Source organism: Homo sapiens, chromosome 10 (genome assembly GCF_000001405.40).
Source record: "Homo sapiens chromosome 10, GRCh38.p14 Primary Assembly".
In the NCBI taxonomy this organism is placed as follows: Eukaryota; Metazoa; Chordata; class Mammalia; order Primates; family Hominidae; genus Homo; species Homo sapiens.
Genome location: NC_000010.11, coordinates 74,332,045 through 74,359,188, shown reverse-complemented (window position 1 = coordinate 74,359,188; position 27,144 = coordinate 74,332,045). Strand labels below are relative to the sequence as shown.

Here is a 27,144-nt window from a genome sequence, read left to right as displayed (position 1 = left end):
ATAAATAAATATATAGACCAAAGATATCCATATGGAGAAGAATCAAACTAGATCCTCATCTTATACCATGTATAAAAATCAACTCAAAATGGATGAAAGACTTAAATGTTAAGACCTGAAACTACAAAAGGAAGGCAGAGACAGGAGGATTGCTTGAAGCCAGGAGTCAAGGTTACAGTGAGCTATGATTGCACCAATGCACTCCAGACTGGGCACCACAGAGACTCCCCAATCTCTTAAAAAAACCTATGATTTTAGTCACTGTAACTTATTCTGCTATTATCCTAGTTTCTTCTAGCATTATGTACAATTTGAAATAATTATGACTCAGAGTATCATTTAAAAAACGATTCAATATTTACAAATTATGTATGTTACTAAAAATTTTTCTCACTTAACTATGTTCGATTCATCTGCACTTCCAAAATGTTGCTATATTTATGAATGGAGCTGGAGAGATGTAGTATTTGTTGATGATAGCTTATTTAAAATTCTAATACCTTTGTCTTTCCCTTGTGGCCAAACACAAGAATTCCTAGCTCTGAGGATGAAAAGTTTTGTCAGTTTTCTACATCACTATGAGAATATATCTACTTACGTGGGTATGGAGGAGTTTTTAGTATAAAACTGCATTCATAAAGAAATAATCCATATGCTTTTGCATAAACTTTATTCTAGATTTTCAAAACAGAATCAGTTATATTACTTTGGTCACAAACTTCTTCACACATAATCTAGTAGGTACCTTTGAGAATAAAATTTGAAATAAGTAAGTGGACCACAGTTATTTTGTATTAGACACAGACAACATTAAATCAAATGTTCTACATCACAGTAAATTTTAGAAGTCTATATTAATGCTAAGTTAATGCATTTCCCTTAAAAGTTCCACAAGGTTAACTTACAAAGTTAATTATATATTACAAGGGTAATAATATCAAAAATGCTGCAAAAAGCCTGTCACTTGACATAAATATTTTTGGATATGAGGTAATTTCATAACGAGTATAAAGATATGAAATAATTTTGCATCTGTTGCAATTATGAGGTAAATTTAGAATTTTTGAAACTTTATTATTGTAACTAAATTGTTCATTAAGTCCATTTCTTTAGTTTGCATGACAATCAAAAGTACTGAGAAAAATGATTAGTTAAAAAATTCTAGAAGCATTTCTTTCCTGTGGGCATTATTAAATGGAGTTTTTAAGTGAATATTTCATTTTTATCAAGGTCATTACACTTTTATTTTTCAATATATTCTGAAATATGTATGTATATACACAAACTCTGTTCAAATAAATATAATTTCGCCACCAGATATCCCAGCCTCAATCTATAACTTTTTTTTAGTTTAACTTATGAGGATGGAGGGAAAAATATTCAGACTGCTCATTGATCACAGATTATAAGCATGCAAATGTGATACAAAACATTTATCTACTTATACCAAATACTAGTCATTAGCACCATATTTTCTACTTATTTTATCGGTCTATGTAAGGAAGAAAGCATAGAAAGCGCTTCAGGTTTACAAACAGACCTACAGTTAAATTGTGTGAGCCAGAGTTAAGTTAAAAAAATCACAAAGGGCTAGGCATGGTGGCTTATGCCCGTAACCCCAGCACTTTGGGAGGCTGAGGTGGGTGGATTGCTTGAGCCCAAGAGTTTGAGACCAGCCTCGGCAACATGACAAAACCCTGTCTCTTAAAAAAAAAAAAAAAAAAAAAATCACTGGGTATGGTGGGGTGTGCCTTCAGTACCAGCTGGGAGGGTCACCTGAGCCCATGGAGTTTGAAAGTTCGAAGGCTGAAATGAGCCTTGCGCCACTGCACACCAGACTGGGTAACACAGCAAAATTCTGTCTCAACACCATAATCACCACCACCACACTACAAAGGTCTGATATTCAACTGCTCTTCAATCTGCCGCATTCGTTCTCCTGCATACACATATGCACACACACACAATGACATAAGGACACAAGAACTGTGGATCAGAAACAAAGACAATTTATTACTCGTAGCAAAAGCAGCACCTAGAACAATATATTTAGACCAGTTCCCTGAGCTCCAATCTCCATGAGGCAATGCAGTAAGGGATGGATGTTACTAGTGCATACAGTAGAGAGCATCACAGGAGAGTAACCCCCAAATGAAGGAACTCTGATCTTCTATTGGTTTGCCACCCTGCTCTGCCCAGAAAGATTGCTCATTACACTCAAATATAAGCAAATCTCCTCTGGGAAGGGGAAGAGAAGGTCTTTTATTTTTATTATCCTTGGACGTCTCCAGGGAGGGACATGTCAGTAGTTTTACTGTCCTGAAATTTCTCCTTATACAATTGGCACTGTAAATGCCTCTCCTTAGAACACTTAGACTGTGCAGGAACATGAGAAATCCATGACCTGTCTCCCAACACTCTGGTTCCCATCTGTAAATGGGATTAATAATGTTTACATAGAAGTTATACTGAAGCACTGTAACGTTTAGGTGTAAGGGTGACTAAAGTATAGAAAAATTAATTATTTGAGACATTGGATGTTGAAATAGGCTTGCTAGAGATGTACTGAACAGGAGTGTTTTTTATTCTCTTGGTACAAAATGAAGAAAGGAAAAATCCTACTATCCATTTATAACATACCATCCAATTTATAAAATGGGTATTTTATAAAATAATCCAATAATATCTACTGTACAAACAGAATGAAAAAAGAACACTTCATTTATTCTAATTAATCTATTTCACGGTGATTTTAATGCTGCAGAGTGTGATCCACTAGTGAAAAATGTGAACTGTAGTTGGTCACAACCATCATTTAAAAAGCTAACAGAATATCAAGATATGGTTGAGGTATTAACAATATGAATTATTGGCCGGGCGCGGTGGCTCACGCCTGTAATCCCAGCACTTTGGGAGGCCGAGGCGGGTGGATCATGAGGTCAGGAGATCGAGACCATCCTGGCTAACAAGGTGAAACCCCGTCTCTACTAAAAATACAAAAAATTAGCCGGGCGCGGTGGCGGGCGCCTGTAGTCCCAGCTACTCGGGAGGCTGAGGCAGGAGAATGGCGTGAACCCGGGAAGGGGAGCTTGCAGTGAGCCGAGATTGCGCCACTGCAGTCCGCAGTCCGGCCTGGGCGACAGAGCGAGACTCCGTCTCAAAAAAAAAAAAAAAAAAAAAAAAAAATGAATTATTTAGTGAAATATTTCAGATACATACACACACATACACACACACAGAGGTATCCTTGGTAGGAACTTAAATTGTGTTTCTTACCGTGGATTGATTGGCAAATATGCTCATTTGCTTATATAAATAACATGGATAAGTAGCACTATGCCTGAGAATTGAAAACTTAAAAATAGCACCTAATGTTTACCAACAAACACATAAGGAAAGAGGAAACCTAAGTCTTTATATATAATGAAAATTAGAAAAGATACAGACCAATTGTCCAAATTTCAACTGTAAACAAGATAATAGAAATAAATAACAACAGGAAAATAAAAGCAAATGGTCCTGAATAAAAGTTAGACACTTTTAAAATTTTTCCAAATGACAATATGCTTTTCTGTTCAGTCTCTGAAAATGCTATCTGTAAATCTTCCCCAACTCTTATGATCCCACAGACTACATTTCTAGCAGATACTAAGCATTAAAGAAGATAAAAGTTATGTGGAACAACCACTATCCCAAAAGGGCTTATAACGAAATAAAGTTAAATATTACTCCATACACATTATATCATTAATTCTTGATTGCACAAGGCTAAGTATATACGTTATGTACTATCTGAAATATTTTGCTTCTATCCCTTTGGGTCATTTCATTATTCCTCCAGGCAGCAGAGAAGTTTTTAAAAAGTTAACTTATACATACATACATACTCTCTTAACAATTCCAAGTAATCTTGATTAGGAAGCAAGTATCTTTACTAATAGTTGGTTTATCTCACAAGAACATTAGCAGAAAAGCTGGGTTTTAACACTTCATGATACCTACCTTGCCATGTGAGCTTAGCCAAATAATAAACTCTTCAGATAGACAAATAAAACTAGAAAAGAGCAGGTGCAGTGTCTCATGCCCGTAGTTCTAGCACATTGGGAGACCAAGACAGGAGGAGACAGAGCAAGACCCTGTCTTTAAAAAGAAGAAGAAGGGGAAAAAAACTGACCCCAGTACAGACAAATGTATGGAATGAATATTTGTAATGAAGTTTTACTGATATACCACACTGTACTTAATGCATTATAAATGCATACAGCTCCAACAATCATTACCCAAATAGTGGAAGCAGTGAGTGGAAGTGAGAAAAAATAAAATATTCAGCAACTCAAATTTAATATAAGTGCTAATTGATCTTTCTGTTTAACTTTTTTAAGATAGATAATACATTAAAGTGGAGTGATGCCATGAAATATTGGAGCTATAACAGACCTTAGGAATCATGTAACAGATCAAGTCAGCTGAATCATTTGCCCAAAATGACTTAGTTACTTGGTTGGCAGAACATGGAGTAGACCCTTCACATCATGAGTTCCCACCAAACCTGGTGGTCGCTGGTTATGACTGTTTCTATCATCTAATATGTTGACAAGGTTTTCCTTAAGACTATAACAAATAGATATATTCCTCTAAATAATCATAAAGGAGTTGGAGTTTATCATGGTTTCCTTAAGCAGTATTCCAAAGCTGGTACGTATTCAAAACCAATACTTGTTGTAATAATTATTTAAGGACTTCATAAATAATTATCGAAGAATGTTAAGGTTAAAGGAAAGGTTTCATGGGGGAAATTTCTACTGTTTATGAAGGAATTGTGTAGGGGTAACAGATGCCAATTTTTCTAGGAAAAAATTCAAAGAGTTACTGGAATACTTCCGTGAGAGTCAATGAGGCTGTGCAGGTGATTCTTATCAGGGCAGCATAGGATCTGCTATACTGAAAATAAGATAAAAATTGCTATCTGGCCTCAGACAAGAACTAATTCCACATGCTCAAGACAATGAGTTCACCTTCTCCTATTCTTACACACAACTTCTGTTCAACAGTAGTAATCAGTAGAGAGACTAATCAAAGTCAGTGATTTAGTTGCTTGTGTTATAATTCGTATACCAATTTGTTGAATACTTGTTTTTAAATGCTGTTTTAAATTGATGCTTATTCTGGACAAAGGAAACCCTTTTTCTTAATTCAGAGTGATCTAGAGCATTTTAAAGCTACACTTCTAATCTATGACTTTCTGTAATTCAGAAAGGATGATTTAAATTCTCAAAGAACTCTATAAGCAAAATCAAGTAAACTGAAGTTTTTTTTTCTTTGAAACAGAGTCTCGCTCTGTCGCCAGAGCTGGAGTGCAGTGGCGCAATCTCAGCTCACTGCAAGCTCCACCTCCTGTGTTCATGCCATTCTCCTGCCTCAGCCTCCCAAGTAGCTGGGACTACAGATGCCCGCCACCACGCCTGGCTAATTTTTTGTATTTTTAGTAGAAACAGGGTTTCACCATTTTAGCCAGGATGGTCTCGATCTCCTGACCTTGTGATCCACCTGCCTCAGCCTCCCAAAGTGCTGGGATTACAGGCGTGAGCCACTGCGCCTGGCTTTTTTTTTTTTTTTTTAACTTTAAGTTCTGGGATATATGTGCAGAACGTGCAGGTTTGTTACGTTGGTATACATGTGCCATGGTGGTTTGGTGCACCTATCAACCCATCATCTAAGTTTTAAGCTCTGCATGCAATAGGTATTTGTCCTAATCCTCTCCCTCCCCTTGACCCCTACCCACCAGCTGGCCCAGGTATGTTATGCTCCATTCCCTGTGTCCATGTGTTCTCATTGTTCAACTCCCACTTATTAATGAGAACATGTGGTGTTTGGTTTTCTGTTTCTGTGTTACTTTGCTAAAAATGATGGTTTCCAGCTTCATCATGTCCCTGCAAAGGACATGAACTCATCCTTTTTTATGGCTGCATAGTATTCCATGGTGTCTCTGTGCAACATTTTCTCTATCTATCATTGACGGGCATCAGGTTGGTTCTAAGCCTTTGCTATTGTAAATAGCGCTACAATAAACACATGTGTGCATGTGTCTTTATAGGAGAATGATTTATAATCCCTTGGGTACATACCCAGTAATGGGATTGCTCGGTCAAATGGTATGTCTGGTTCTAGATCCTTGAGGAATTGCTACACTGTCTTCTACAGCGGTTGAACTAATTTACACTCCCACCAACAGTGTAAAAGCATTCCTATTGCTCCACAACCTCAACAGCAACTGTTGTTTCCTGACTTTTTAATGATCGCCATTCTAACTGGCATGAGATGGTATCTCATTGTGGTTTTGATTTGCATTTCTCTAATGACCAATGATGATGAGCAATTTTTCATGTTTGTTGGTTGCACGTCTTCTTTTGAGAAGTGTCCATTCATATCCTTTGCCCAATTTTTGATAGGGTTGTTATTTTCTTGCAAATTTGTTTAAGTTCCTGTAGATTCTGGATATTAGACCTTTGTCAGATGGATAGATTGCAAAAATTTTCTCCCATTCTGTATGCTGCCTGTTCACTCTGATGATAGTTTCTTTCGCTGTGTAGAAGCTCTTTAGTTTAATTAGATCCCATTTGTCAATTTTGGCTTTTGCTGCAATTGCATTGGGTGTTTTAGTCATGAAGTCTTTGCCCATGCCTATGTCCTGAATGGTATTGCCTAGGTTTTCTTCTAGGGTTTTTATGGTTTTCGGTTTTACATTTAAGTCCTTAATCCATCTTGGTTACTTTTTGTATAATGTGTAAGGCAGTGATCCAGGTTCAATTTTCTGCATATGGCTAGCCAGTTTTCCCAACACCATTTATTAAACAGGGAATCCTTTCCCCATTGCTTGTTTTTGTCAGATTTGTCAAAGATCAGATGGTTGTAGATGTGTGGTATTATTTCTGAGGCCTCTGTTCTGTTTCATTGGTCTATATATCTGTTTTGGTACCAGTACCATGCTGTTTGGTTATTGTTGCCTTGTAGTACAGTTTGAAGTCAGGTAGCATGATGCCTCCAGCTTTGTTATTTTTGCTTAGGATTGTCTTAGCTACACAGGCTCCTTTTTGGTTCCATATGAAATTTAAGGTTTGTTTCTTTTTTTTTTTTAACTCTGCGAAGAAAGTCAATGGAAGCTTGATGGGAATAGCATTGGATCTATACATTATTTTGGGCAATATGGCCATTTTCACAATATTGATTCTTCCTATCCATGAACACTGAATTTTTTTTCCATTTGTTTGCATCCTCTCTTATTTTCTTGGGCAGTGGTTTCTGGTTCTCCTTGAAGAGGTCCTTCACATCCCTTATAAGTTGTATTCCTAGGTATTTTATTCTCTTGTAGCAATTGTGAATGGGAGTTCACTCATGATTTGGCTCTCTGCTTGTCTATTATTGATGTATAGAAATGCTTGTGATTTCTGCATATTGATTTTGTATCCTGAGACTGCTGAAGCTGCTTATCAGCTTAAGGAGGTTTTGGGCTGAGACGATGGGGTTTTCTAAATATACAATCATGTCATCTGCAAACAGAGACAATCTGACTTCCTCTATTCCTATTTAAATACGCTTTATTTCTTTCTCTTGCCAGATTGCTCTAGTCAGAACTTCCAAAACTATGTTGAATAGGAGTGGTGAGAGAGGGCATCCTTGTCTGTGCTGGTTTTCAAAGGGAATGCTTCCAGCTTTTGCCTGTTCAGTATGATATTGGCTATGGATTTGTCATAAATAGCCCTTATATTTTGAGATATGTTCCATCAATACCTAGTTTTTTGAGAGTTTTTAGCATGAAGGATGTTTAATTTTATCAAAGGACTTCTCTGCATCTATTGAGATAATCATATGGTTTTTGTCATTGGTTCTGTTTATGTGATAGATTACGTTTATTGATTTGCGTATGTTGAACCAGCCTTACATGTCAAGCCGACTTGATTGTGGTGGATAAGCTTTTTGACATGTCGCTGGATTCGTTTGCCAGCATTTTATTGAGGATTTTCACATGGATGTTCATCAGGGATATTGGCCTGAAATTTTCTTTTTTTGTTGTGTCTCTGTCAAGTTTTGGAATCAGGATGATGCTGGCTTCATAAAATGAGTTAGGGAGGACTCCCTCTTTTTCAATTGTTTGGAATAGTTTCAGAAGGAATGGTACCAGCTCCTCTTTGAACCTCTGGTAGAATTCGGATGTGAATCTGTATGGTCCTGGGCTTTTTTTGGTTGGTAGACTATTAATTACTGCCTCAATTTCAGAACTTGTTATTGGTCTATTCAGGGATTCAACTTCTCCCTGGATTAGTCTTGGGAGGGTGTATGTGTCCAGGAATGTATCCAGGAATGTATCCATTTCTTCTAGATTTTCTGGTTTATTTGCATAGAGGTGTTTATAGTATTCTCTGTTGGTAGTTTGTATTTCTCTGAGAATAGTGGTGATATCCACTTTATAATTTTTTATTGTGTCCATTTGATTCTTCTCTCTTTTCTTCTTTAATAGTCTAGCTAGTAGTCTATCTATTTGGTTAATCTTTTCAAAAAACCACCTCCTGGATTCACTGATTTTTTTCAAGGGTTTTTCATGTCTGTACCTCCTTCAGTTCTGCTGTGATCTTAGTTATTTCTTGTCTTCTGCTAGCTTTTGAATTTGTTTGCTGTTGCTTCTCTAGTTCTTTTAATTGTGATGTTGGGGTGTTGATTTCAGATCTTTCCAGCTGTCTGAAGTGGGCACTTAGTGCTATAAATATCCCTCTTAACACTGCTTTTGGTGTGTCCTAGATTTTGGTACGTTTTCTCTTTGTTCTCATTGGTTTCAAATAACTTCTTTATTTCTGCCTTAATTTCATTATTTACCCAATATTCATTCAGGAGCAGGTTGTTGAATTTCCATGTAGTTGGGTGGTTTTGAGTGAGTTTCTTAATCCTCAGTTCTAATTTGATTGCACTGTGGTCTGAGAGACTGTTTGTTATGATTTCCATTCTTTTGCATTTGCTGAGGAGTGTTTTACTTTGAATTATGTGGTTGATTTGAGAATAAGTGCCATGTGCTGCTGAGAAGAATGTATATTCTGTTGATTTGGGGTAGACAGTTCTGTAGCAACCCCATGTCTATTAGGTCCGCTTGGTCCAGAGCTTAGTTCAAGTCCTGAATAACCTTGTTAATTTTCTGTCTCATTGATCTCATATTGACAGTGGGGTGTTAAAGTCTCCCACTATTATTGTGTGGAAGTCTAAGTATCTTTGTAGGTCTCTGAGAACTTGTTTTATGAATCTGGGTGCTCCTGTAGTGGGTGCATATATATTTACGATAGCTCTTCTTGTTGCATTGATCCCTTTACCATTATGTAATGCCCTTCTTTGTCTTTTTTGATCTTTGTTAGTTTAAAGCCTGTTTTATCAGAGACTAGAAGTGCAACCCCTGCTTTTTTTTTTGCTTTCCATTTGCTTGGTAAACATTCCTCCATCCCTTTATTTTGAGCCTATGTGTGTCTTTGCAAGTGAGATGGGTCTCCTGAATACAGCACACCGATGGATCTTGACTCTTCATCCAATTTGCCAGTCCGTGTCTTTTAATTGGGGCATTTAGGCCATGTACAGCTAAGGTTAATATTATTATACATGAATTTGATCCTGTCATCATGATGTTAGCAGGTTATTTTACACACTAATTGAAGCAGTTTCTTCATAGTGTCATTGGTCTTTATATTTTGGTGTGTTTGTGCAGTGGCTAGTACCACTTTTTCCTTTCCACATTTAGTGCTTCCTTCAGGAGCTCTTGTAAGGCAGGCCTGGTGGTGACAAAATCCCTCAGCATTTCCTTCTCTGAAAAGGATTTTATTTCTCCTTAGCTTATGAAGCTTAGTTTGGCTGGATATGAAATTCTGGGTTGAAAATTCTTTTCTTTAAGAATGTTGAATAATGGCCCCCACTCTCTTCTGGCTTGTAGGGTTTCTGCAGAGAGATCTGCTATTGGTCTGATGGGCTTCCTTTTGTAGGTAACCTGACCTTTCTCTATGGCTGCCCTTAACATTTTTTCCTTCATTTCAACCTTGGAGAATCTGATGATTAGGTGTCTTGGGGTTGCTCTTCTCAAGGAGTATCTTTGCAGTGTTCTCCATATTTCCCAAATTTGAGTGTTGGCCTGTCTTGCTAGGTTGGGGAAGTTCTCCTGGATAATATCCTGAAGTGTGTTTTCCAACTTGGTTCCATTCTCCCTGTCACTTTCAGGTACACCAATCAATCATAGGTTTGGTCTTTTCACATAGTCTCATATGTCTTGGAGGTTTTGTTCATTCCATTTTATTTTTTTTTTCTCTAATCTTGTCTTCACACTTTATTTCAATAAGTTGATATTCAATCTGTGATAGCCTTTCTTCTGCTTGATCGATTTGGCTATTGATACTTGTGTATGCTTCATGAAGTGCTCGTGCTGTGTTTTTCAGCCCCATCAGGTCATTTATGTTCCTCTCTAAACTGGTTATTCTAGTTAGCAGTTCCTATAACCTTTTATCAAGGTTCTTAGCTTCCTTGCACTGGGTTAGAACATGGTCCTTCAGCTCAGAGGAGAATCTGACTATTAGGTGTCTTGGGGTTGCTCCGTCCAGTTTTGTGCCCTTGCTGGAGAGGAGCTGCAATTATTTGGAGGCAAAGAGGCATTCTGGTTTTTGGAATTTTCACCGTTTTTGCGCTGGTTTTTCCTCATCATCATGGATTTATCTACCTTTGATCTTTGAGGCTGATGACCTTTGGATGGGGTTTTTGTGTGGGGGTCCTTTTTGTTGATGTTGAGTTTGTTGCTTTCTGTTTGCTAGTTTTTCTCCTAACAGTCAGGCACCTCTTCTGCAGGTCTGCTGCAGTTTGCTTTAAGTCCACTCCAGACCCTGTTTGCCTGAGTATCACCAATGGAGGCTGCAGAACAGCAAAGATTGTTGCCTGGTCCTTCCTCTAGAAGCTTCGTCCCAGAGGGGCACCAGCCTGATGCCAGCCAGAGCTCTCCTGTTTGAGGTGTCTGTTGGCCCCTGTTGGCAGTTCTCTCCCAGTGAGAAGGCACGGAGTCTCCTCAACTCACTTGAGGAGGCAGTCTGTCCCTAAGCAGAGCTCAAGCACTGTTCTGGGAGAATCCTCCTTGTCAGTATCAGCTGTTCTCTTCAGAGCCACCAGGCAGGAAAGTTTATGTCCTCTGAAGCTGCGCCCACAGCCGCCCCTTCCCTCAGGTGCTCTGTCCCAGGGAGATGGGAGTTTTATCCATAAGCCCCTGACTAGGTCTGCTACCTTTCTTTCACAAATACCCTGTCCAGTGAGGAGGAATCTAGACAGGGAGTCTGGCCACAGCTGCTTTGCTGCACTGTGGTGAATTCCACCTGGTTCAAACCTCCCCGCCACCTTAGTACTGTCAGGGAAAAACCACCTACTCAAGCCTCAGTAATTGCAGATGCCCCTCCCCCTACCAAGCCCAATGGTCCAAGGTCAATTTCAGACTGTTGTGCTGGCAGTGAGAATGTTAAGCCAGTGGTTCTTAGCTTACTGGGCTCCGTGGGAGTGGGACCCTCTAAGCAAGACCACGTGGCTCCCTGGCTTCAGCCCCCTTTCCAGGGGAGTTAACAGTTCTGTCTCGCTGGGGTTCCGGGTGCCACTGGGGTACGAAAAAAAACTCCTGCAACTAGCTAAGTGTCTGCCTAAACAGCCGCCCAGTTTTGTGTTTGAAACCCAAGGCCCTGGTGGTGTAGGCACACGACGGAATCTCCTGATCTGCGGATTGCAAAAACCATAGGAAAATCATGGTATCTGGGCCAGATAGCACAGTCCCTCATGGCTTCCCTTGGCTGGGGGAAGGAGGTCCCCCAGCTCCTTGCACCTCCCAGGTGAGGTGATACCCCACCCTGCTTCTGCTCACCCTCTGTGGGCTGCAACCACTGCCTAATTAGTCCCAATGAGATGAACTGGGTACCTTAGTTGGAAATGCAGAAATCACCCACCTTCTGTGTTGGTCTTGCTGGGAGCTGCAGACTGGAGCTCTTCCTATTCGGCCATCTTTTTTTTTTTTTTTTTTTTTTTTTTTTTTTTTTTTGAGACAGAGTGTCGCTCTGTCGCCCAGGCTGGAGTGCAGTGGTGCGATCTCTGCTCATTGCAAGCTCCACCTCCCGGGTTCACACCATTCTCCTGCCTCAGCCTCCTGAGTAGCTGGGACTACAGGTGCCCACCATGCCCGGCTAATTTTTTGTATTTTTAGTAGAGACAGGGTTTCACCGTGTTAGCCAGGATGGTCTCAATCTCCTGACCTCGTGATCCACCTGCCTCAGCCTCCCAAAGCACTGCTGGAATTACAGGCTCAGCCATCTTAAGTATCGAAAATAAATGGTTTTTCTCTTCACCAGTTGTCTTTAATTTGTGAGGCTCCTGACTCCACTGCTTCTCTTCTTCAATTCATTCCTGTTATGGAACTGTCGTGGCACTCTAAAGTCTGTGTCCTTACTAGCCACCTTCAGGGCTAAAACAGCCTGTAAGTGCAAGGGGAAAAAAAACCTCAGGTATTTCCCAAATCGGTAGCTGCAGAGCTACTCGATCCTTACTGTAAACTGAACATTTCAAAAACAAGATTGCTCTTTTACATTATGAAACCCTTTCAATCTTGCATTTAATTGATTCTAGTGTTGTCTTTCTGGTTTTAAAATTTATAGAAAAAAATCAAAATATAAGAAATGTAACTCAAAAGCCCAAATGTTAAAACTGAAAATATGAAAATTTAGATTAGCTTACATAATTACAAGCTAATTAATTAATTACAAAGGATGAGGCCTACCTACATTGCAAGTATACTGTACTATAAGTGTAAAACCCTGATCGATATAGCCATTCTATCAATAATATTAAAATTCAGTGTTCACTGAAGCAAAATCACTACTTTTTTTGGTGATGATATGTACCATGGCATTGGGAAGAAAAAAAAACATGAACTTTGGATTCATTAAAAAACAGAAATTTTGGCCAGGCGCAGTGGCTCATACTTGTACTTCCAGCACTTTGGGAGGCTGAGTCAGGTAGATCACCTGAGGTCAGGAGTTTGAGACCAGCTTGCCCAACAGGGCGAAACCCCATCTCTACTAAAAATACAAAATTAGCCAGGTCGTGGCATGTACCTGCAGTCCCAGTTACTCAGGGGGCTGAGGCACAAGAATCATTTGAACCTGGGAGGTAGAGGTTGCAGTGAGCCAAGATCACACCACTGCACTTCAGCCTGGGCAACAGAGAGAGACTGCATCTCAAAACAACAACAACAACAACAACAAAAACCCAGAAATTTTAAATGCAACAAAATGTAAGCTCATTCAAATGTTTTTCTCAAAAGCCATGAAAAACAAACTATTCTAAACTATAAACTAGAATACATTTTATGAAATAGTCTACTGATTCCACTCAAATAAGATAATGGGACTATACTTTCACATTTTCTTATCAATAGTTCTAATAACTATACATAAAAGACAGTTATGTGGGTCAACAGGAGACACACTGTAGATAGAAAGTTACTAACAGATTGAAAGTACGGGTGGAAAAATATATCATGCAGGCTGGATGTGGTGGCTCACATCTGTAAACCCAGCACTTTGAGATGCCAAGGCAGGGGTTTCACTTTGAGCCAGGAGTTCAAGACCAGCCTGGACAATACAGTGAGACCTCGTCTCTGCAAAAAATTTAAAAATTAGCCAAGCATGATGGTATGCACCTGTAATCCCAGCTACTCAGGAGACTGAGGTGGGAGGATCACTTAAACCTGGGAATCAGAGGTTCCAGTGAGTGGCAACCTCTGCTTGCCAGTGCACTCCAGCCTGGGCAACAAAGCAAGACCCTGTCTGGGAAAAAAAAAAAAGATACGTGATGCAAACAACACCCACAAGAAAGACAAAGTGGCTATATTAATGTCAGAAAGAATAGCCATTAAACAAATTAGATTATTTATTAGATGAAATGGACAAATACTTAGAAAGGCACAAATGACTAAAAAAATTTCAAGAAAAAATAGGTAACTTGAACAGACCTATATAACAAGAGATTAAATTAGTAATCAAGAAACTACCCACAAAGAAAAGCCTAGCCCTGAATGGCTTCACTATTGAATTCTAATGAACGTTTAAAGAAGAATTAGATAAAGCGGCTGCAATGCTTGCCCTGATCCTGATCCTCCATCCTCAGACTCGACTGGCAGTGTAGGCCTCCAGCCTTGTACTGACGTCAGATGTGAGAGCCTGTGCTTAGGTAAGAAATCACGTCTCACTGAAGACATTCAAACAAAGGTTGGAACACTACTTTACAAGAACAGAAAGGAAACTCATGCATCAGAGAAGATGACTAATAAATGTACCAAAAGAATATGGGTGCACAAATACCAGAATCTGATCAGATTAAACAGTTGAAGGAATTTCTTGGGACTGACAATAAACTTGCAGAAATCTGCTTTTTGGACTGTGTTAAGACTGCACAACAGATGTAAAACCTGAAGAGACCAGCCTGTTCAGAACACTTTATGGAAATATTTTTAAATGACAAAAAGAATATCCATGAGACTTCAGGAATGTAATATTCAGCAGAATGAAGCTCTGGCAGCCAAAGCAGGACTACTTGGCCAACCATGATAGAGAAGTCCTAGATTGCCAACAGCTGCTGCACTGGAAATGAGTATGCATCTGATACAATCCCCTGAAAGCAGGTGCCACCTTGTTAAGTCATCTGTCATGAGTTTTTGGCAAGTGGAAACCACTGGAGAAACCAGTGATTATTCCTATTTACCGGGAATAATCAGAATAGAAGGTCTTATTGTTCAATGAAATAATAAGGTGCAACATTTGTTGAGGCCTTAAGATTCAGCAGCATAGACACCTGATTAGAAAAATAAGCAATTGCTGCTTCTTTTAAAAAAATTAATACCAATTCTCCACAAACTCTTCTAAAAATTAGAAGAGGGAAGACATCTCCCAATTCATGTTATGAGGCCAGTATTACTATGATACTCTAAAATCAGACAAAGTCACAAGAAAATAAAACTACAGACTGATACTCATATGAGAATGATGCAAAAATCCTCAACAAAATACTAGCAAAACAAATCCAGCAACATTTAAAAATTATATATAACATAACCAAGTGGAGTTTGTCTCAGGAATGCAAGGTTGGTTTAAGATCCAAAAATCAATTAATTCAATGCATCATATCAATAGAATAGAAAACAAAATTACATGATCATCTCAACACACATAGAAAAAGCATCTGGCAGCCAGGCATGGTTGCTCACGCCTGTAATCTCGCATTTTGGGAGGCCAAGGCGGGTGGATCACAAGAGGTCAGGAATTAGAGACCAGCCTGGCCAACATGGTGAAACCCCATCTCTACTAAAAATACAAAAATAAGTTAGGCGTGGTGCTGGGCACCTGAAATCCCAGCTACTCAGGAGGCTGAGGCAGGAGAATTGCTTGAACCTGGGAGGCAGAAGTTGCAGTGAGCCAAGATCATGCCATTGCACGCTAACCTGGGCAACAAGAGCGAAACTCCGTCTCAAAAAACAAACAAACAAAAAGCATTTGGCAAAATCCACTACAATTGACTCCAGAACAACACTGGTTTGAACTTCACAAATCCACTTACACCAGTATTTTCTTCCACCTCTGCCACCCTTAAGACAGCAAAACCAGTTCCTCCTCTGCCTCCTCAGCCAACCCAACATGAAGACAATGATGACTTTTCTCACGAAACATTTCCACTTAATAAATAGTACATACATTTTCTCTCATGATTTTCTTAATAATATATTCTTTATATGATACATATATAAAATATGTGGTAATTGACTTTATGTTACTGGTAAGGCTTCTGGTTAACAGTAGGCTATTAATTGACAAGTTTTGGGAGAATCAAAAGTTATACATGGATTTTAGACTATGCAGTGGGTCAGCACCCACAATCGCCATGTTGTGCAAGGGTCAACTGTACTGTTTCAAGATAAAAACGCTAAAAAAAAACAGAAATAGAAAGTAACTTCCTCAATCTGATAAAGGGCATCTAAGAAAACTGCAGAGAAACATCAAACTTAATGGTGAATGATTAGATATTTTCCCCCTATATGAGAAACAAGACTAGGGACATCTCTTCTTGCCACTTCTGTTCACTGTTACATTACAACTACTAGTCACAGCAATTAAGGAAGGGGGAAAATAGTTAAAGGCTTCCAAATTAGAAAGAAAGAAGGAAACACAACTATAGTCACAGATGACATGGTTTTGTTTATAGAAAATCATAAAGAACCCACTAAAAAATATTAGAGCTAAGTAAGTTCAGAAAGGCTGTAGGATACAAGATCAATATTAAAACACACACACACACACACACACACACACACACACACAAACTGAGCTAGGCACAGCGGCTCATGCCTATAATCCCAAAACTTTGGGAGGCTAAGGCCAGAGGATTGCTTGAGCCCAAGAGTTCGAGACCAGCCTGGGCAACATGGCAAGACTCTGTCTCTACAAAAAAAATTAAAAATTAGCCAGGCATGGTGGTGCATGTCTAGTGGTCTCAGCTACTTGGGAGGCTGAGGGAGGAGAATCAGGTGGGCCTAGGAGATTGTGGCTGCAGTGAGCCATGTTTGTGCCACTGCACTTCAGCCTGGGCAACAGAGCATGAGCCTGTCTCAAAAACAAAACAACAAAAACCACACACAATTGTATCTCTAAGCCATCTGCAATGAATAATCTGAACATAAAATTAAGAAAAGAATTCCACTTACAATAGCATCAAAAAGAAAATAATATTTGGGAATAAGTTTTCTTTACAGTGTAAAATTTATACTCTGAAAACTACAAAACATTGTTGCAACAAATTAAAGATGATCCAAATAAATGGAAAAACATCCCACATTCATGGAAAATTTTATTAAGATTGGCAATATTACCCATTATGGATGTAGAGATTCAACACAATCCCTATCAGAATCCAAGCTATACTCATTGTGTAAATTGACAAACTGACTCTAAAATTCACTTGGAATTGCAATGGACCCAAAATAGCCAAGGAGGGATAATTGAGTGGGTGAGAGCTAATGTATATGGGCTCTTTTTGAGGTGATAAAAATGCTCTAAATTTGATTTATCTCAATAAAGCTTTTTTTTCATGCTACTTAGCATGAAAACAAAGAACAATTTAATTTCCTTATGGGAAGAAGGACTCACAGAAAGGTACCAAGAAGTGATATCATTTGTGCTAAGTATATGTTTTACTATTCTCTAAGTCTTTAAAAATTTGAAAATACACACATAGCAATAACTAACCAGAATAGTACAAATTTGAGCATGCTGGTTTTGAATTACATATTGCTGTACTAATGATGTTCATAAATGAATTGTCAAGACAATTTTCAATACAATGGCAGCCAAATAAATAAATACACAAAACACCAAGAACAGGGATTTATATTATACAAGCAAGTACATGAAATGGAAAACTACCATGAGAGCCAACATACACTGGATTTAGGATTAAGGAGTGTAAATATACTAGAAATCTTTGAAGAAGTTAAGAAGGACAGCCAAAGACAATAAAAACAGACAGCAAGAAGTAAGTTAATGATTGCAAAAATCCTTTTTTTTTTTTTTTTTTGAGACGGAGTCTCGCTCTTGTTGTCCAGGCTGCAGTGCAGTGGCAGGATCTCGGCTCACTGCAACCTCCACCTTCCCAGGTTCAAGTGATTCTCCTGCCTCAGCCTCCCGAGTAGCTAGGATTACAGGCACCCGCCAACACACCCAGCTAATTTTTTTTTTTTGTATTTTTAGTAGAGACAGGGTTTCACCATGTTGGCCAGGCTGGTCTCAAACTCCTGACCTCATAATCCACCTGCCTGGGCCTCCCTAATTGCTGGGATTAACAGGAGTAAGCCACCGCACAGATATACTATGGCAAGTGTAAGAAACCTTAGTATAAACATTGTAAAAATGCAAGTCTAAATGTGAAGGAAACAAATCTAGAGCATCACTTTGAATATACTTATTATAGTATACTATCAAGGAGAAGAAAAATAACTTTAACTTTGAATGTTAACTATAGCACAATGAAATGAGAACAAGTGTTCTTCAATCAAGCTAATAAGATTTCACTCTAAGTTTCTGACATAAAGGATAATGATAGATGTCTAATGAATAGAGTTAATATTGAAATCATTAAGAAGTATTTTCATATTTTATGAGGTTTTTAAAAAAGTATTTCAGACACAATGTTCCAATGTTCCAATAACATTCTACATATTGTACTATGCCTGATATAAATGTACTTTGCAAATGGGCAATAAATTTGCCAGCCATTTTAATCTTTCAAAATTAAGTATTTAAAATTGGTAATATGCAGCATGCTATATAGACAATTAAAACAGTAAAAAAAAGTATACTGAGTGAAAAATAAGTCTCTCACAAACAGCAATTCCTCAGTTTTCCTCCACTGGTTTCCAGTTTCATATGTGTTCTTACTGAATTTCTATTTATGTTATTTCTTGACTCTATTCTGATGCCCAGATCTGTCAATATATAAACACATAATATATATACACTGAAATATACACTGAATTTTCCAAAACAGTCTAGGTTTCTATTCTTTTTAATCAAAGCAAATGCTATGTATGGCTTCATTTTAATTTCTACTTGCTTACAAGTTTCAATAGTAATATTCAGAGTTGTCAAATTAGGAAGCAAGATATATCACCTGAAACCTGGTTTAGACAACATTTTAAAAATTAAAAGTCATCAGGTATATAAATGAAGATTGTCATACTACTCAAAAATTATATGGGAATATAAGGAAACAACTGACTTTTTCTCATACAAACAATACTAAATGCAGACACACAATGAAACAATAAACACAGTACTTTAGATTTTTAACTGGAATTTCACACCTTTTCCTTACCCCTACATCCAAAATACTATTTTTCTGATCAGAGTTGAATACTAAAATTAAATGTAAATTAATATGCTATTTTAAAATCAAACTAAAACCAATTTATAGTAATAGAATATGTTAATATTAACTCAAACAGTTTAAATTCCCTCCTATGTACATGAAAAATGGCCCTTCAAAATGGAAGGGAATTTCATCATCTGGTTTAAAAATAACAATGAAATAAAGAGCAGCACAAACAAGACTACTTTTGGCCTCTGGCTTCTTTCAGTATAGAAGTATTATAAAGAAAAGAGTAAGCCAGTGTTGATATAGTAAAGAAACCTCCACTTTAATAAATCATTTTTTCAGGAAAAGAAGTAGTCTGCAAAATCTGTGAAAGTGATTTATCTTCAGGTGAATAAAATGAACAGTAATTGATCTTGTACCTAGGGAGTGATTCTTCTTCCACCAGTTACAAACATATCTCTGTTAAATATCACTAGAATAGGTTAGGTAATCTCATGTTTTGAATAATTTATTTGCACACTTAAGATTTAGGATTTATTCTAAAGTTTATGTCCAACACCACAGTTTCAGTTGGGCCATTAACTTGTTCATTATTTCATCACTTTTTGCATCTGTAAAATGAGTCCAGCTTTGTATGGGACCATCATAGAAATGACACCAAACACAGATTTGGTGGGTGAAAGAGTTATGTCAGAGGTAAGATGATCATGAAAAAGGGATATAGGCTGAGATACGTGAAATGGGCACAAATTGGTAAAGTGAAGGAAAAGAATGTTACATGCAGAGGAATCTGTATGTTTATGTCAACAAGATATATGATTACCAAACGTTTCACTTCACAGCAAAGAATTTTGAAGAAATCAAGACTGTCTTTTAATTTAGTGTATAAAGTGGATCATTTTAAAAATAACATCTACTTTACTTATATTGGTTATCCTAGAAATTCTGTGAAGAGGCTAAAAAAGGAATTTAGGCCAGGGCAGTGGCTCACCCCTGTAATCCCAGCACTTTAGAAGGCCAAGGCAGAAGGACTGCTTGAAGCCAGGAGACTGAGACCAGCCTGGGCAACATGGTGAGACCCCCATCTCTACAAAAAATAAAAATAAAAAAATTAGCGAGCCATGGTGGCATGCACCTATAGTCCTAGCTACCTGGGAGGCTGGAAGCAGGAGAATCCCTTGAGCCCAGGTGTTTGAGGCTACAGTGAGCTATGATTGTGCCACTGCACTCCAGCCTGGGAAATGGAACAAGACACTGTCTCTTAAAAGAAATTTTTTTAAAAAAAGCTCCCCAAAGTAGACATTACATGCATTGTTCTTAGTGTGTGTGTACTATTCTATAAAATCTTATCAGCTGTAAAGATTCATGTACTCACCAGCACAATTAAGACACAGAACTATTCCATCACCACAAAGAAGCCCTCTCCTGCAACTCCCTTATAGTCATACCTATCCCCTTCTCCCACATTATCTCTAACTCCTGGAATGACAGGTTAATTTTCCAACACTAATTTTTTTTCATTTAAGTAATACTATATAATTGGAATCATACAGTATGTAACACTTTGAGTTTAGCTTTTTTTTTACTTCGTGTGATGAACTTAAGATCTACGGAAACTGTTGACTGTACCAGTAATTTATTCTTTTACAAAGCTTGGTATTCCATTCGATAGATATATCACAGTTTGTTTATCTATTCACCTGTTGAAAGTTATCTGGATTCTTTCCAGTTTGAGGCAATTACAAATTAAGCTGATGTAAATATTTGTGTAGCAAGTTTTTACATATACATAAATTTCCATTTTTCTATGTTAAATACTCAGGAATATGATTGCTGAGTCATATGGAATATTTATCTTTAATTTTATTAAAAATGCCAAACTGTTTTCCAGAGTGGCTGTGTCATTTTCCTATCAGCAACAGATGAGAAATCCATTCATTCTGTATTCTCACCAGTTTTTACTTTCGCTATCCACATATGTATGCAGCAGTATCTTATAGTTTTAATTTGCACTTCTCTAATGGCTAAGAATATTGAAAATATTTTACATGGCTTACTTGCTATTTTATATATTCATTTTTATCATTTAAGTTTTTGTTGTTGTTGTTGTTGTTGTTATCCTAGAAATTCTGTATAGAGGCTAGAAAAGGAATTTAGGCCAGGGGTAGTGGCTCATGCCTGTAATCCCAGCACTTTAGGAAGCTGAGGCAGGAGGACTGCTTGAAGCCAGGGTCTCGCTCTGTCACCCAGACTGGAGTGTAGTGGTGCAATCACAGCTCATTTAAGATTCTTAAATACATTTGTAGCCCAGCGTGGTGGCAGGTGCCTGTAATCCCAGTTACTCGGGAGGCTGAGGCATGACAATCACTTGAACCCGGGAGGCGGAGGCTGCGGTGAGCCGAGATTGCATCACTGCACTCCAGCCTGGGCTACAAGAGCAAGACTCTGACTCAAAAAAAAAAAAAAAAAAATCATCCGAAGAGGGAATATACAATATCTTCAAGCTCACAGTTAGTAAGCTCTTCTAGCTAATAGTAGGACAACACAGATTAATATACAAAAAGCTAATGAAGCCAGCTGTAGTAATAAAAAGTAGAGGAGTGTAAGTATAGAAAATTTACTTAGAAATGTCTTTATAGAGATGATTTGATTAAAGCTATTCACTTTGATAACCCAGGAAAGGCACTTAAAATTCACAAGGCATGAGTCAGATAATGTCAGTGTCTGTACAGTATCCTTTGGACCTAACCCTTTCCCACCATTCCAAATTACTTCCAATAGCCAGTATCTTCCTCTGTATCCCTCAGGGCTTTCCTCTGAATGGCTGAATGCTACTCTGCCCACCACAGCACCAGGCAGGTGCAATGTCTTCTGTATGGCAGTCCACAACCAGTAACAGGAAATATACTCACTCTCTCACACTTCAGGTGAGTTAGTCCCGAAACTAAATTTGACACTGACTTTCCCAGAATTATCCCACAAGATAAAGCTCCAGCAACCTATTGTGTTAGTTTAGTTAGTAAGTCTTCATTAGCTGCCTTGCTTTCCTTGCATCAATTCTTGCCTGTTACATACGTCTCCAAAGTAGACTTTGTTCTAAAATCCTTGCTTCAGGGTTCTGCTGCTGGGAAAACTTATGTATGTTAAACCACCCACCACAACAAAATAACTCTCATTAAAAATAAAAAATACTTGGAAGCAAAAGGTAGTGACAATAAATAAGACATATATATAGGCCCACCATATCCATGGGATCTGCATCTGCAGACCAACCAACCAACAGCAGATCAAAAATACTTGGAAGTGGGGGAAATGGATAGTTGTTGAGTCTGTACTGAACAGGTACAGACTTTTTTCTTGTCATTATTCCCTAAATAACACAGTATAACAAGTATTTACTTAGCATTTATAGTGTATTAGGTATTATAAGCAATCTGGGGATTATTTAAAGTATATGGGAGGATATGCATAGGTTATGTGCAAATATTATGCCATTTAAGGGACTTGAGTATCCATGGATTTGGTATCCACAGAGGGTCCTAGAACCAATCCCTTATGGGCACTAAGGGATGACTGTACTTTCCTTTCTCTATTTACTTTTTCTATTTATTATTATTTCATAACTCTCTTCAATTGTAAATTAACAGCATTTCCCCTGCATATTGAAAACCTAATTTCTAATATGTCCATTACATTAAAATTAACAGTGCAAAATTACAGACGTCTACAACTACAAAAAATATTGACCTGTAAAATGCAATAAATTCAACTTCCATGATTAGACAGCAAAAAAAACAAACACATTAAGCTACAGTAATCAGAGAAGTATGATATTGGAGAAAGAAGAGACATATAGATCAATGAAACAGAATATGGAACATAGATATACAACCACATAATTGATTTTCAAAAAAGTACAATGGCAATTAAAGAGATTTAAATAGACTTCAGGGAAGAGTAATGGATCAATTGGATATCCATATGCCAAAGCAAAAAACAATAGCAAAAAACAATAATCAAAAACTCTGTTACAGACCTCACCCAATATACACAAAACTTAACTCAAAATGGATCACAGATCTACATGTAAAAAGTAAAACTATGAAATTTCTAGTAGAAAATATAGGAGTAAATCTTTCTCACCCTGGATTAGGCAAAGAGTTCTTATATGACACAAAAGCATAATCCATTTTAAAAGTACATAAATTTGTAAGAACTTCTGCTCACTGAAAGACATTGTTAGGAAAATGAAAACACAAGCCACTCACTAGGAGAAAATATTTGCAAATCACACATCTGATAAGTCTTGTCTGCAGAACAGATAAAGAATTCTCAAAACTCTGTAACAAAAATAAACACAATTTTTTTTAAAAAAAAGGCAAAGAGTTTGAAGAGATACTTCTTCAAAGAACATATACAGATAGCAAATAAGCATATAAAAATGTGCTTCACATAATTAGGGAAGTAGAAACAAACAATGAGATGCTCCTCTCCCCCTTACAATTGATGTAGTAATAAAAGCTGACAATATCAAGTGCTGAAAGGATGTGAAACCACTAGACCTCTCATATATTACTAGTGGGAATGTGAAATGGCACAGCCACTTTGGAAAGGAGTTTGGCAATACATCTAGTAAAATGAAAATTTATGTTAACACAAAAACGTATAAATATTTTTAGCAGCTTTATTCATAATCACCAGAAACAATTCAAATATCCCTCTAGAGTGGATAGAGACACAAGGTGCAGTACATCACGATGATAGAAAACTACTCAGCCATTAAAATTTAAAAACTATTGACAAAGCAAATGGATGAATCTAAGATGAACTTACGTCAACTGAAGAAAGTCAGATTCAAAGGCTATGCACAACATGATTCCATTTGTGTGTATCAGTACCTCAGGAGAGCTGGAGAAAGCTGGGCTGCCACGTTTTGGCACAGCCAATGGCAACAAGCCAAAAAAATAAATAAATAAAATAAAATAAAATAAAGAATAGGTCTGTAATCACTGTGACAGTATAAGAGGCTAAATTGGAGAAAGTGCCAGCTACCCCCCATTCCATTTTCCCCTGTGGCATGGCACATTGGTCACAGGGCAGGTAGACCAGCACAAATGTGAGGGTTGCATCATTGCCAAAGGGAACCCCCAACAAAAGATTCTGGCAGTTTTACAGACCCAGGAGTCGAGTGAAGGCTAGAGAGGGAAGGGTTAGAAACAGAAAAGTACAAGTCATAGTAGAGAAAGAGTTGGTAAGTGTCTTCCCCTCTTTTCCCCAATAAAGTCTTGACAGAGACACTTAAGGAAAGCCTCCCCAAAAGCCCCACATAAAGAGGCCTCTGAATGAAGGCACCTAGGCTAGGAACGCAGATATGTATAAGAGGATGGCTGGGTCCTTGACTGCAATTCCCCTCAGAGACTATAAAAGCTTTGCACCAAGTCTGCTCTGGAGACCAGCCCTCCCCCTATGAAGCCTGCCAGGAAAACCTCTGTAAATGCCTTATGATCAGACCTAAAAAATCACTCATAGGTTGTTGGCCAGAAGCAGGAACCCTCAATACAAGTCACCGGAAAAGGCAAAACTATACAAACAGAAAATTATGGAGACTGGGATTTGATTTTACCCTATTTAATAAAAGCTAACACAAAAGCCTCTTAACTAATTCATGGATGCAGGCAGAAGACACAAGACTCCTCAGTCAAAGAAAAAACACTTCATTACTTATGACAAAACAGAAGAACATCAGCACATTTGCATCAGTTCCCTTCATCCCAAGTCCTTTGGGGATGCTCAGATGGATGCTATGCTTGTAGTGAGTTTGCATCAGCAAATGAGAAGCACTGAACTCAGGGAATCCACCAATTTTATAGCAAGCAGTAAATAAGCTTGCTTTTTGTCTGGGAACAGATGTTATCTCATGTCTCAAGTTTATCAGCTGCATATATAACCCTGAGAAATGTCCCAGGAAAAAGGGCAGTCAGAACCTTACAGTCTTCACAAACAAGTGAGGAGAACTGTCTCTGTCAACAAAAACAGAGCAGGGATTGCCAAGGGCTGAAGTAGGGGAAAGGAAGACTACAAAGGGGACACAGGGAAAGTTTTGAGGTGATGAAACTATTCTCTATCTTATTTCTGATACTGGTTGCTAGACTGTGCATGTGTCATAACTTGCAGAAACATACACTACAAAGATCACTTTTTTGTATATAAATTATAACTTAATTTTAAAATGGAAAAAATACTTTTGAAAAAAAGTATTTTTTGAAAAATAAATTTATTTGAAAAGAATTTCTTTTCTAGAAAAAAGTAAATCTTCCCTTAAAAAAACAAAAATATACCCAGGACCCTGTGGTACCATCCCTGGTGTCCCTTTCTGCATACGTCTACTTTCAGTTGCCAACTACTTAATGTTTACAGTATTCATTTGAGGTTAATTAATTATACTTTCAGATATGCTTCAATACCTATTCAAGCATTAAATCAGGACTTATAATTTTGAAATCTTTTTTTCTTACAACAGTTTTTGAGAAAAAAATAGATTAAATTTGCAAAACAATAAATTAAAAATTAGTATAGCTTACTGTTGCCTTTCAGCTCTCTCAATCAAGATATCAAAAATAAAATAACATTTGGCAGGCATCCCTTCATACTCCCCACCATGGATATTAACTCACAAATAAGATAAACCCTCAAAATTATTAAATTGCCATTGTTCATGTTTCTCCTATTGACCAATGATCTAAACTCTCATTTTAGTAAGGTTCTAATAGAATGGAACATCTGTTTTATGTTACATGGGAGGCAGCAAAATTCTTCCTCTCTGACTGGATTACTAATGCTCATGCCTTCTATGGCGTTATACTTCTCATTCGTATCCCTGCACTAGTTCTCTAAATAAAGTACAACATACCCCCTCCTAATGTAATACATTTTCCTTTGTACAATACTGTAGATGCCATATTTTTAATGTGACATGCTGGTATTTCTTTTTTAAAACCACAAATGCATTTCTTATTCTCAATCACAAATTTAAATTTCTTGTGTATTCCCAGCCCACTAGGCATTTTTCTTTTAAAATAGCTGAAAAAATAGACGATTTCAATTTTTTGATTTGTCATCTCATTTTTTATAGACTCCAAGTAACTGTTAGAATGGAAAGTGAAAAGATATTTAGTTTTTTTTTCCTTTTTCTATAAAATCAATTTAAGCTTAAGAAAGACTGTAAAATATTTCTGCTTCTTAAGAGGAACAGTAGTAAGTCCATGCCACATCTAAAATGATCTAAAATAATACATTCATATTCAATTTAAGAAAAATAACCTTAATAAGACATTCTTCCAGTGTTCAAGCTTAAAATTATTTTAACATGAGTGTTTTCATTTTTAAAAGTCATCAAAATTTGACATATATTCCTTATGTTATTTCAGAGATTTACACAAATACTTAGCTGACACCATCTTACATTTCATTGGTTAAATTAAGATAAAGTAATACTCTTCAAATGGAGTTATATTTCTAATACCTTCAGTTTTTCTTGTTGTGCAATATTTTGTTCATTATGAACAGATTCTGACAAAATTGACACAAATTGCATCACTACTGATGACTCTCAATTAGGTCTTCAGTTCATTTCCCTTGCCTAACTCTAAAAAAGCTACATATGGTTTAAACCACTGGTACTTTTTACTTTCTGCCAATACACAAACCATGCTTTTCTGTGTTGAAAACATTCCCATGAATAATTATACTAGTCTCCAAAGAGACCAGATGGTAATAAATTCTAGAGCAGATCTGGAAGCTTTCTCTAAATTTACCTTTTTATAGTCTCACCATCACAATACAGTTCTTTGTGCTATGGCTTAGAATAGCTATGGCTAGACATAGAAATGTGAGTAAACTTTGTACAGAAATAAAAAAATACAATCATTTCAGGGTCTTTCATAACTACATACATCTCTCATCTAATATTATCATCAACAACTTTTAAGAGAGCATCACCTTGATAGAGTCTGACATTACTAATCAAATTATAAAATTTTTACATTTGCAAAATGTTACTATGAAAGTAAAATTTGTCTGGGCACAGTGGCCCATGGCCATAATCCCAGCACTTTGGGAGGCCTAGGTGGGTGGATCACTTGAGGTCAGGAGTTTAATACCAGCCTGGTCAACAGGGTGAAATTCTGT

At 37.4% G+C, this 27,144-nt stretch overlaps 1 protein-coding gene and 1 pseudogene across 14 annotated transcripts in view; one reads left to right on the top strand and one right to left on the bottom strand.

Annotated features, from left to right (window-relative positions):
* Window positions 1-27,144, bottom strand: part of ADK (adenosine kinase) — a 558,070-nt gene that overhangs the window by 350,102 nt on the left and 180,824 nt on the right. Inside the window, exon 1 of one of the 14 annotated variants that reach the window (XM_017015699.2) lies at window positions 599-2,897. The exons of the other annotated variants lie outside the window; for them this stretch is intronic. Within the exon in view, the coding sequence (XP_016871188.1) occupies window positions 599-633 (35 nt within the window). The 5' untranslated portion in view covers window positions 634-2,897. Of the gene's footprint in view, window positions 1-598; window positions 2,898-27,144 lie in introns of those variants that run through there. 14 annotated transcript variants of the gene reach the window in all.
* Window positions 14,260-14,919, top strand: TIMM9P1 (TIMM9 pseudogene 1; annotated as a pseudogene).